Source organism: Homo sapiens, chromosome 21 (genome assembly GCF_000001405.40).
Source record: "Homo sapiens chromosome 21, GRCh38.p14 Primary Assembly".
NCBI lineage: Eukaryota > Metazoa > Chordata > Mammalia > Primates > Hominidae > Homo > Homo sapiens.
Genome location: NC_000021.9, coordinates 33,720,559 through 33,733,668, shown reverse-complemented (window position 1 = coordinate 33,733,668; position 13,110 = coordinate 33,720,559). Strand labels below are relative to the sequence as shown.

The following is a 13,110-nucleotide window of genomic DNA, read 5'->3' as shown; positions in this document are numbered from 1 at the left end:
CTGCTTATTCAAATCCTTTGCCAAATTTTCTATATATTGCATGTCTTTTGTTGTTAGTTTATAAGAGCTCATAGTGTATCACAAATTAACTGTTTATCTGCTGACTGCTGAAAGACTTTTAAAAATTCATTATTTGTTGATTTATGTATATGTACGGCATAAAAATTCTAAATTTTTGTATATAAAATATTTCTTTTATCATATGATTAGAAGGTTGTTAGTCCTTGATTTTCTAACATTGTATTATTTTATTTCATTTCAATCCTTAAACCAATAATTATGGGTAGGGGTGGGGGAGTTATTCCAGGGTCCAATCACATTTCTTCTACATGGATTCCTAGCTTTCCCAGTAATATTTATTAATCAATCCCTCTTCTTCTCACTGAACTAATATACATTTTTATCATGTATCAAATGTTCATATGAAGTGAGAACTATTTCTGGACTATCTGTTCTGACTGAACAATTTCCAGGTCAATATTACAATGATTTGATCACACTGGCTCTCTGGTATATTGTGATCCGGGAAGGTCTGGGAAGGTTTTTTTTCCCCCTTGGTTATTCATGGGTGTCTATTTTCCTATGAACATTTAGATTATTTTATCTGTTATACAAACAACCCTACTGGGATCCAAAAACTGCCTTAGAAGGGGATTTTTGGAGAATTGATTAAACCACAATTGCTTTTGCACCAATAGTTTACCCAACCAAAGAAAAGACAATCTTTCCGGTTGTTCAAATATACTATTTCCTTTAATAAAATTGTATCACTTTTTTCATATAATATGCTTTTCTTGCTAAATGTATTCTGAAGAATTTTATCATTTTTGCCAGATTTTAGATGAAACATTCCCCCCATTTCCATTTTTAGGTGCTTATTTCAAGCACAGAGAACATTTTTTATTTTAAAAAATTATTTAGGCTGTATTTAGCTATCCTACCAGACTCCTACAAGTTCTTATTAATGTTTTAAAACTAAAATCTCTTGGGTGTACTAAGTATACAATCACATAACTAGAAAAAAATGAGCATTATCTTTCTTTTCCAATATTTAGGCCAATCTTTTTTATTGGTCTTACTGCCTTCTAAGACATTACTGAATGCGTTCTTGCTCAGTTCTGAGTTTAAATGAAACAGTAGATTTACTAGAGCTAATAGTTTAATAGAGTTCATTGTTTAGAATGACAGTTGGTAGTGATTTCTGGAAAGTAATGTAAACTGAAAACAAAATTTTGAGCCCCCCACCATCTGAATGGACCCCTCATCTCAGCCAAGGGCATTTCAAAATTAACCTGAAAAACTAGTTCAAGCCAAGATGGGAAGAGGAAGTCAGACATGCCTCATTATACCCTCCTCCCTTTTGGAATTCAGGCCCAGCTGACCAGCATTAGCATCAACACAGGCCTTAAGACTGATAAAGGAGGCTCTTAAAGTCTGATAAGAAATATTTACCATCTATTTTCTCTGAAGTCTACTACCGGGAGGCTTCACCCGCATGACAAAACTTTGTTCTCCAAAACCACTTATGATAACCCACACATTCCCTTCTATTGATTCCAGCTCTTTGGATAATAACTCTTTCAATGAAATGCCAATTAAAAACTCTTGAATCCACGTATGACCTGGAAGCCTCTGCTTCCAGTTGTCCCATTGTTCCAGACCGAAATAGTGTACATTTTACATATATTGATTGATGTCTTATGTCTCCCTAAAATGTATAAAACCATGTTATATACCAACCACCTTGGGCAAATGGTCTCAGGATCTCCTGAGGGCTGTGTCACAGGCCATTGGTGACTCATATTCGGCTTGGAATAAACCTTTTCAAATATTTTACAGAGTTTGACTCTTTTCATGGATAGTAGTCTCACATATTTAAGTAGTTTCCTTTCTACTTATTAGAAATGGTTACTGTATTTTTCATCGGGTGCCTAATCTGTAATTACCAATCCGATCACAAGTTTTCTTCTTCCTTTTATCTGCTGAAATAATGACTAATGTTGATAGAATTTTTCGACTCTGAACCAATCTTGCACCTCTGGCATAAAGTTGGTCATTGTGTATTCTTTTCATACATTGTGAAATTCTATTTGCTAAGATTTTGACTTTTTTGGATCTATGCTCATAAATGAAACTGGCTTCTGGTTGCTTTATTTTTGTACTACCTTTCAGGTTTTATAAAGGAAACTAAGTAAATAAAATGAAATGGTGAACTTCCTTCTTTTGCTAAGTAGTTTTTTAAAAGATACGCAACTATTTAAAACGGTTTGGTGGGGAAGAGTTCCCATTAATAAAAATCAACATCAACATGCACACTAAAACCAATCAATCAGTCAGGCAGGTGCCCACTCCCTGTTCCCCACACCACTGCCCAGTATGGTCTCTGGTGAGAAACAGGAATATCCAGTGTGGGATAATGAGTAGGTTAGGGGAGAAGACTTTAGGTAATGGCTTAATTAGACTCTAAAGGTGTCCTACAGAAGTGTTTTCATGGGTGAGGAGAAGAAACTTAACCATGAGGTTCTAGGGACTTGACTTTAAACCACATACGACAATCCCAACATTTAGTTGAAAATGTCGTGATACTCAAAAAACGCTTTTCTCAATAAACATAACTGTGGGGAATCCCTGGTAATGAAAATTCTAAGAAATTTATGGAAATATGGTAGTTACGGCTGGGCGCGGTGGCTCATGCCTCTAATCCCAGCACTTTGGGAGGCCGAGGCAGGTGGATCACCTGAGGTCAGGAGTTCGAGACCAGTCTGACCAACAAGGTGAAACCCTGTCTCTACTAAAAACACAAAAATTGGCTGGGCACGCGGGCGCCTGTAGTCCCAGCTATTTGGGAGACTGAGGCATGAGAATTGCTTGAACCTGGGAGACGGAGGTTGCAGTGACCTAAGATAGCACCTCCAGCCTGGGTGACGGAGCAAGACTCCATCTCAAACAAAAACAAAAACAAAAAAACAGGCTGGGCACGGTGGCTCACGCCTGTAATCCCAGCACTTTGGGAGGCCGAGAAGGGTGGATCATGAGGTCAGGAGTTCAAGACCAGCCTGGCCAAGATGGTGAAACCCCATCTCTACTAAAAATACAAAAAATTAGCTGGGCATGGTGGCACGTGCCTGTAATCCCAGCTACTCAGGAGGCTGAGGCAGAGAGTTGCTTAAACCTAGGAGATGGAGGTTGCAGTGAGCCGAGATCACGTCACTGCACTCCAGCCTGGGTGACAGAGCAAGACTCTGTCTCCAGAAAAAAAAAAAAAAAAAAAAAAAAAAAAGAACAGAGAGCATTTATAGCAGGTTACCTTAATGTAAGGAGGAAAGGAAGTAATTTAAATATGAATACATACACGTTATATACATTATGTACCTGCTTTTTTCCAACAAAAATAAATGAAGGATAACAGGAAACTAATACAATGGGTGGAAACAGGGTAAAGGGATAGAAGAGGGAGTGACCTTGTCTGAGCACACCTTTTTGTTAGTTTCGGTTTTTAGAACCTTTTTAATCTGTTATGTATTTAAATAATAAAATTAAGTCCACAAAGATGAGGAGGCATATCTAAATTAAATAAAAATGAAAATAAACCTAATCATATTATAAATAACTAACATATCCACGTAAGAGGTAGAAAAAAAAGCCTAGTCCAAGTAACTTCACATAGTACTTTATATGTCCTCTGTTTAAAAACAAAAGGAACTACAAAGTAATCTTGAAATCTACTGTGAAAGGAAAATAAAAACGCAGGACTTCAATTCACTATGCAAAAGGTAGAAAAGTAAGCTGAAAGCTGAGTCCCTGAAAGCTGAGTCCCTTTGTTCCTAAGCAGGGAGCTACAAATAAAAGGTCAAACACCTCTACAGGCTACTTTATGTTCCATTTTATCTTATGTAAAGTGCCGACTTACTGAGCACTTTACTGATTTACTATTACCTAACTGACTATTCCCCTGCCTGCTCCTTTTCTCTGGCAATATATGGATTACCATATCCTCCCTCTTTGCCCTCCAGCCTACCTGTTCCCTTTAAATACTGAAGCCATCAAAATCATCGTTGGAGAAAAGCACAGTTTCTGTGATTCTGTGCTTATTTCCTCCCGGCATGTCCTTAACTTTAGCAAAATAAACTCCTAAAATGATTGAGACCTCTTGTCTCAGATACTTTTTGGTTTACACTACTTACTAGGTTCTTTTTTTTTTTTTTATTTGTTTGTTTGTTTGAGACAGGGTCTCACTCTGTTGCCCAGGCTGGAGTACAGTGGCACAATCATAGCGCAATGCAGGCTTGAATCCTCAGCTCAAGTGATCCTCCCACCCCATCCTCTGAGTAGCTGAGACTACAGGCATGTGCCACCATACCTGGATAATTTTTTTTTTAAAGTAGAGACGGGGTCTCACTATGTTGCCCAGGCAGGTCTCAAACTCCTGGGCTCAAGTGATCCTCCTGCCTCGACCTCCCAAAGTGCTGAGATTACAGGCATGAGCCACTGCACTGGGCCTAAATTTGTTGTTTGTAGTGGAGGTGAATGTAACAATTCTGAAACTACTTTGTGTGTGTTACAGGATGAAGGGATGAGGCCAGGCTCCTCTTGTCCCACCTCATTCCCTGCAGTGTTGGCACCTACAGATTCCTTTAGGAGCCCAGTTCATCCACAAAGCCTGGCCTCAGGCTGCTCATCTCTCACCTGCTGCCCCTTGGGCTGGAGGTGAGACCCAGCAGCAGTGCAGACTAATCCAGTCATTCATTCTCATTCATTCAAAAACCAATTATGGGGCAGGGGGGAGTGGGGGGCTGGGCATCTATCTGGAAATTGGGGTTATATCTATGAAAAAGACACAGTTCCTAGCACCACAGAGCTTATATTTTAGTGCAAGCAGAACTAACAAGAGAACAAACCAGATTATTTTACATGGTGATAAGTGCTACCAAGGTAAAGGGAAAGAGGTGGGCAGAGGGGACCACTTTACACTAGCTGGTCAGGGAATGCCACTTTGGGGAGGTGACATATGAACTGAAACCTGAAAGGCAATGAACCTGCGATGTGAGGAACTAGAGCAACTGAATTATAGGAAGAGGAAACACTAAGTACAATGACCCTGAGGCAAGGAGAAACCTGGCCCATTTAAAGAACAGGAAGAAGGCTGGGCAGGGTGGCTCAAGCCTGTAATCCCAGCACTTTGGGAGGCCGAGGCAGGCGGATCACAATGTCAGGAGATCCAGACCATCCTGCCCAACATGGTGAAACCCTGCTACTAAAAATACAAAAATTAGCTGGGCATAGTGGCGCGCGCCTGTAGTCCCAGCTACTCGGGAGGCTGAGGCAGGAGAATCACTTGAAGCTGTGAGGCAGAGGTTGCAGTGAGCTGAGATCGCACCACTGCACTCCTCAAAAGATTATTCCTGGCCGGGTGCGGTGGCTCATGCCTATAATCCCAGCACTTTGAGAGGCCGAGGCAGGTGGATCATCTGAGGTCAGGAGTTCGAGCCCAGCCTGGCTGACATGGTGAAACCCCGTCTCTACTAAAAATACAAAAATTAGCCAGGCATGGTAGTGTGCACCTGTAATCCCAGTTAGTCAAGGTGCTGATGCAGAAGAATCACTTAGACCCGGGAGACAGAGGTTGCAGTGAGCCCAGATTGCGCCACTGCCCAGCTTGGGCGACAGAGTGAGACTTTGTCTCAAAAAAAAAAAAAAAAAATTCCAGCTGCTGTTTGGAGACTAGACTCTAAAGGGGCAAGTGTGAAAGAGAGAACCCAGTCCAGATGCTCGAACAGTGGGCCCAGGTGAGATGACAGGTTAGGATGGTAGCAGTAGGAAAGAAGTGGCCAGATTGGGGATAAAGTCCGTAAATGCAATTACGTTGATGGACTGGGTATGCAGGGTGAAGAAAAGAGGGAAATCAAGCACGGTGCCCAGGTGTTGGTTTGGGCAGCCAGGTAACTAAGATGTCATCTTAGTTCAACGCCATGAGCTACTGGATGGTAAAGACTCAGGAATGAGGGATGGAGGAGAGGGGATCAAGAGTCCAGGGTGCTTATTCTTTTTTTTTTTTTTTTTTGTATGAGTTTAGCAAATTGATCTTGTTGGGGCTGAAGGCCCTTCTGACACATACTCAGGAGTGTCTTAAGAAAGTACAAACTATGACTATATGGCTGTTTGCCCTGACACCCATTCTGAACCAGATCACAAAGTTGATCTAATCCTTGCCTTCATGTGTCTGGCTCCCTTCTTTCCTCTCAGGGCCCATTTCCAGGTAGTGCTCCCTCACTCCCTCTTTTCTCTCCATTTCTGCTGGCCCTCCGTCTCAGATTCCAGAGCCCTCATCCAGCCTCTTCACCCCGTCTCTTCTTCCTTCCTGTACCTTCTGGCTCTTGTCTATTCCCACTGCTTTATTCTCCTCCCCTCCACATCATAGCAAAGTTGAAAAAATTCTAAGCACTTCAATTGCCAAAAGGATATCTGCCAACCTCCTTCCAGCTCCTTATTAATAAGACAATTTCTAGGAAGATGTACCATCTTTGGCCACGGTTATAATTTGGCATGACACACACTGACTTGACTCCATCCTCCGAGAATTAAGGTTTTCTTGTATTCTTAATTGGAAATCAGCCAGGAGAGACAAGGAGTCCCCAAAGCATTAACAGATTACAGTTGAAAGTTAACAAATTAGTTAACTGGAATATAGTTTCTACATGGAAATAAAACATAATAAAGGTTTCTAACATATACTGTCCATCAGTTCGTATCACTCAAATATTTGAAACAAAGTCCAGAACAAAGTAAGTAAAGCTCAGAGAGAGAAACTAGACACAGTTTCCAATTCTTAATCCAAACTTCTCTTCTTTGCTGGATGTGATGGCTAATGCCTATAATCCCAGCACTTTGGGAGGCTGAGGCGGGCAGACGGCTTGAATCTAGGAGTTCAAGACCAGCCTGGGCAACATGACAAAACCCCATCTCTACATAAAATACAAAAATTAGCCAGGCATGGTGGTGTATGCCTGTAGACTCAGCTACTCAGGAGGCTGAGGTGGGAGGATTGTTTGAGTCCGGAGGATTGTTTGAGCCCAGAATATTGAGGCTGCAGTGAGCTATGATCATGCCACTGCACTCCAGTCTTGGTGACAGAGTAAGACCCTGTCTCAAAAACAAACAAAAAAGCAAAAAATTATCTTCTTCCCCAGATGACTGACACAAGGACTGCCTAAAACTTCAGAGTCAAACCCATTCTTCCGTCTACCAAAAGGAGTAAGGACTTACCCTGGGACCCTACCAGAAAAATCACAGAAGAACATAAAAATAGTATGGGGGTTGGAGGGAGCTGCTTCTTTAGATCAGCTATTATTAGTTGCAATTTTAAAAACCTAGGCTTGGCCGGCTGCAGTGGGTCATGCCTGTAATTCTAGCACTTTGGGAGGCCGAGGCAGGCAGATCACTTCAGGTCAGGAGTTCGAGACCAGGCTAGCCAACATGGTGAAAACCTGTCTCTACTAAAAATACAAAGGTTAGGCGGGCATGGTCGTGGGCACCTGTAATCTCAGCTACTTGGGAGGCTGAGGCAGGAGAATCACTTGAACCTGGGAGGCAGAGGTTGCAGTGAGCTAAGATCGTGCCATTGCACTCCAGCCTGAGCAACAGAGCAAGACTCCGTCTCAAAACATAAACACAAACAAACAAACAAAAAAACCTAGGCTTTAAGAGATCAAGTACTACTCAGGGTTACTATGTGAATAAGTATCAAATCAGCTCAGTTGAAAGGCAGATCTTGCTAAACTCATAATTTGCACTGCATTATTCCATCATCTGGGCAGGATATCAGTGGTTCATGAAATTTCCAATGACTTTTCAAAGACATTTCTTTTGGGAAAAGAGAGTTACAGACATTTTTGATAGTAAAATACGCCATCACAAATTTATTTAGCAAAACGTAAGAAAAAAATTAAAGATTCATTCAATCTAAGATTGCCACATTACCATCTTTAATTAATATACATAGTCATTATAAAAACCTGACTTTGGGCCACTCAGGTAAAAATAGTTTAGAAAGTTAGGACAACTGTTTTTATTTTTTAGAGACAGGGTCTTGCTCTGTCACCCACGCTAGAAGGCACAATCATAGCTGACTGCAGCCTCAAACTCCAGGGCTCAAGCAATCCTCCCACTTCAGCCTCCCTAGCAGCTAAGACTACAGGCATGCACCACAATGCCCAGCTAATTAAAAAAAATTTTTTTGGCCGGGCACAGTGACTCACGCCTGTAATCCCAGCACTTTGGGAGGTCGAGGCAGGTGGATCACAAGGTCAGGAGTTTGAGACCAGCATGACCAACATGGTGAAATCCCATCTCTACTAAAAATACCAAAATCAGCCAGGCGTGGTGGTGTACGCCTGTAATCCCAGCTACTCAGGAGGCTGAGGCAGGAGAATCGCTTGAAGCCGGGAGGCAGAGGTTGCAGTGAGCTAAGATCGTGCCATTGCAATCCAGCCTGGACAACAAGGGCAAAACTCCATCTCAAAAAAAAAAAAAAAAAAACAAAAAAAAAAAATTTTTTTTTTTTTTTTAAAGATGAGGGCTCATTATATTGCCCAGGTTGGTCTCAAACTCCTGGGCGCAAGCGATGCTCCCACCTTGGCCTCCCAAAGCATTGAGATTACAGACGTGGGCCACCACACCCAGCCAAATGTCACTTTTTTCAATTAAGACAGTTGTCTTTGCCAGGCATGGTGGCCACACCTATAATCCCAGCACTTTGGGAGGCAAAGGCAGGAAGATGGCCTGAGTCCAGGAGTTCGAGACCAGCATGGACAACATAGCAAGATCCCACCTTTACAAAAAACAGAAGAAAAAAAATGAAATTCATTAGAGTGTATTTTATTTTTCTCCACCACACTTACCACCATGTGACAATTTTTGTGTTGTTATTGTCTCCCTCCACTAGACTGCCGTTTCAGTAAAAGAATGGATTCTGTCTATTTTGTTCATTGCTATATCCGCAGCACCTCTTAACAGTCCCTGGCCCACAGGAGATATCTGATAAATAATTTTTCAATGTTGAAAGAATAAATGAACTTTGAAAAATTGGGAATATAACACAAAAGCATAATCCAGTGGAGGAAGTTAAGTCTGCGGAAGAAGGTTCCAGCGAGAGGTCCTGATGGTATGAGACATGATCATGTATGAGCTGCAAAGCAGAAGCTTGTTAAAATTCACAAAGGTGCCACAGGTCTCTTGCGTTTAAACTTTCACATTTAACTGACAGAACAGGGCTTCTGTGCTCACTTGCACATGACTTCTTTCTTGCAGGCTGTTTCTTCATCTGAGCATCTTACTTTACTTAAACTGTAATTCCAAAACCGCTTGGTTATCTGATTTTTTAGCTCTAATAGATCAGAAGTTAGAATTAGAATGGCTTCAGAGGAGCAAGCACACTAGTTTAGAGACAGTCTGGCGGCCAATATGCTGACAACCAGGAAAAAGAAAATAAAGCAGATACCCAAAAAAAGCACAGAGATCTGGTATCATTTCGTTTCAATTCAAATATATCCAAATACACACACACACACACACAAACACACACACACAATCTCCTGTGAAAGTTTTGCTATTTCAGGACAGTTACTAATTTTCATAATGATGACATTTCATCAAGAAAAGCTTAGATTGTGTTCTGTAGACTGTGCTTAAAAGAAACAAAAAGCTGTATCAACCTTTATTAATTTCCACAAGATTATAAATTTAAAAGTTTGGTAATTTAAGAGGACAAAGTAGTTAGCTGGAAAATTCAGTTATGTAGAATACCCAGCCCCTGGAGATGATACCTTTTTGGGTTTTACTTTGAGGGCCTATTATGTGACAGGAGCCACAATAAGTCCTTGGTTTTTCTGGAATCCTCTCAACAACTCTCACAAAACTATAACCATTCCTATTTTCTAGATTAGAAAACTTGAGGTCAAAGAGGGTAACTGTATCTCCAAATCAGAGACACTGAAAATGGTACACCTGGGAATCAAACTCAGGTGTACGACTACAAATCACATGCTCTTTTTTTTTTGGAGACGGAGTCTCGCTCTGTCGCCCAGGCTGGAGTGCAGTGGCATGATCTCGGCTCACTGCAAGCTCTGCCTCCTGGGTTCACATCATTCTCCTGCCTCAGCCTCCCGAGTAGCTGGGACTACAGGCGCCCGCCACCACACCTGGCTAATTTTTTGTATTTTTAGGAGAGATGGGGTTTCACCGTGTTATCCAGGATGGTCTCCATCTCCTGACCTCGTGATCCGCCCGCCTCGGCCTCCCAAAGTGCTGGGATTACAGGCATGAGCCACCGCGCCCAGCCTACATGCTCTTTCTTCATAGCGAGCTGCCTTCGTATCACTAATTAACTCAGGGAAGTGAAGTATTAAGCACCCTTGGTGAAAAAAATGAGACATCTTAGAGGACAACAGAATTCAGCATGGCTCTCCAAAGCCATGAGCCAAGAATCCAAAACTGTATTTGCCACCCTTTTTATTATACTCTCTGTATTTCCTGTGGCTTAAAAGATTGAATGCCTATTTGTGATAGTCAAATAATTCACTATTATCTATTAATGTTATGGATTTACCATGCACTAACTCTCAAATATTTTCTTTACCTTTTATTCTTCAGTCAATGAAAGATAAAAAATCATTCCATTATAAAGCAAGAAATGTGGGACATTCAAATAAATGTGGGTGATATGGGTGAAGCCAAAACTAATTGGTGAAGGAACACCAAAATTTAGATGTCTCCATGGAAATTCAACTTTTTGACAGTGTTGTCATTCAAATGTCACCACTTTTTTTGTTGTTTTGTTTTAGTTCCATATGAGAAAGACACTTTTCAGACATAACTCTCTGGTAAGAAGTAACAAGATATTTCAGGCTAGAGATACATGTTCTCCTTTTATAACATAAGAAATCATATTACCAAATAGAACAAAACGATATTTTATTTTGCCTTATGCTTATGTAAAATTTCATGTAAAATTCCAACTTACCATATCTGTGCTAAAACAGGTTGAGGTAACCCAGATTGAAAAAAAAAGTTTCTAGCTTGATCACCTGTAAATTAAACAGAAAAAGTTTCAGGAAAAAAAAAAAAAAACAACAGCTGACAGAAATCCTGTAATAGCAAAATTACAAAATTTACAAAGAGGCTGGTAATACTATAAATACCAGTTGAGTGCATTATAAAAGTCCAAGGATAAGCCCATAGGCAACAGTAAAAGAATCCATCAGCACTGACTTTAGAATTCAAAAAATCATCTCAAAAAGGGCCTACCATTTCCTGGCATAGATTTTCCACTTTAATTAATCTGCTATTAACTAAGATATGAACAGCTACCCATTGTGCAAAAGCACATTTATAGAAATCCTTAGGAAACTGATGACCCATACTTTCACTTTATAAAAAAAGTTATTTGCCATTCCCAATACCTATACTCCAAATTCTGGGTACTTCTGAAGTATTTACAGAGAATAAATAACAATGATTAAGAACGACACCTGAGGTCAGAAGTTCAAGACCAGCCTGGCCAACATGGTGAAGCCCCATCTCTACTAAAAATATAAAAAATAAGCTGGGCATGGTAGTGGGTGCCTGTAATCCCAGCTACTTCGGAGGCTGAGGCAGGAGAATCGTTTGAAACTGGAAGGGGAGGTTGCAGTGAGCCGAGATCACGCCATTGTACTCCAGCCTGGGTAACAAGAGCGAAATTCTGTCTCAAAAAAAAAAAGAAGAAGAAAAAATTAGCTGGGCATGGTAGCAGAACAATTCCCCTGGAAATAAAGATTCCACTTTTTATAAAGTGAATTCTGAAAAATAATCAAACAGGAAAATTAGTTTGTTTATTTTTGAGATGGAGTCTCGCTCTGTCACCCAGGCTGGAGTGCAGTGGCGTGATCTCGGCTCACTGCAACCTCTGCCTCTAGGGTTCAAACAATTCTCCTGCCTCAGCCTCCAAGTAGCTGGGATTACAGGCGCCCACCACGACACCCAGCTAATTTTTTATTTTTAGTAGAGACGGGGTTTCACCATGTTGGCCAGGCTGGTTTGGAACTCCTGACCTCAAGGGATCTGCCCACCTCGGCCTCCCAGAGTGCTGGGATTACAGGTGTGAGCCATTGGTCCTTTGATCTTAACCAATTCCCATAAATTACATGCACAAAACAAGTGGTTTGACATGCACTAAAAATTGCAAACAAGGTATGATTCCATTATGTGTAAAAAAATTGTAAAAGGACAGGCACAAGGTTAGGGCAAAACAGGTAAATGTCTCTCCTTGGTCATATTTGCCCATCTCGTCTTTGCATGATAGAGTTTCCACAGACATCTGCACTACTGATAAGTAAAAATGAAAAAATGCTGACTGTGATTACCAGTAATGAATCCAGATATTGGCTTTAAACTATGGAACTGCTGATCATGCTTCGCTCTTTCCTCTACAGTTATGGCCCAGATATCCAGGCTGCCTAAAATCCAAAGAAAAGACAAACAAATTATTCAGTGAGAAAAGGAAAACAAAATGCTCTCACACACTATTTCCACAGCACTTCAAGATTCTGTCAATGTATTATAAAGACTTGATAAATTCACATCTTCTTGTCCTTGGAAGTTATGCATATAAAGTTAGAAAAGTGTAAAACAGGACACAAAATGTAAGAAACAGAAAGAGAGAGAATGGGAGGGAAAGAAAAGAAGAGGCACACATTCCTTTTTTAGAAACTTGTTTTATAATCCCATAGTTAGCAAGATTATAGTAAATTAATAATTTACTTACATAAACCCAAGCAACAGACTAAATTAACTTAAACCTAAAACTGTACTCTCAAGTGCCTTAAATGCCACAGGCAAAAGTTATGAAAGAAGAAGGTGAGTGTGATAAATATCCATGAAAATCTTTTGGGGGGTGATTAAAATATTAATATATTAGATTGTGGTGATGGCTGCACAACTCTATATAATTTGCTAAAAATTATTATACAACTAAAGCTAGTAAATTTTATGGAATATAAATTATATTTCACTAAAGCTGTTTTTAAAAACAGGTATCTCAGTATGCAGGAAACAGACTTAAAAAAAAAGAAGGGC

At 40.5% G+C, this 13,110-nt stretch overlaps 1 protein-coding gene across 30 annotated transcripts in view; it reads right to left on the bottom strand.

Annotated features, from left to right (window-relative positions):
* Positions 1 to 13,110, bottom strand: part of ITSN1 (intersectin 1) — a 257,361-nt gene that overhangs the window by 166,193 nt on the left and 78,058 nt on the right. For all 30 annotated transcript variants that reach the window (XM_017028428.2, NM_003024.3, XM_017028431.3 and 27 more), the window contains 2 exons: positions 12,399 to 12,491; positions 11,018 to 11,081 (listed from right to left, as the gene is read on the bottom strand). In XM_017028428.2, coding sequence (XP_016883917.1) covers positions 11,018 to 11,081; positions 12,399 to 12,491 — 157 coding nt within the window. The remainder of the gene's footprint in view (positions 1 to 11,017; positions 11,082 to 12,398; positions 12,492 to 13,110) is intronic.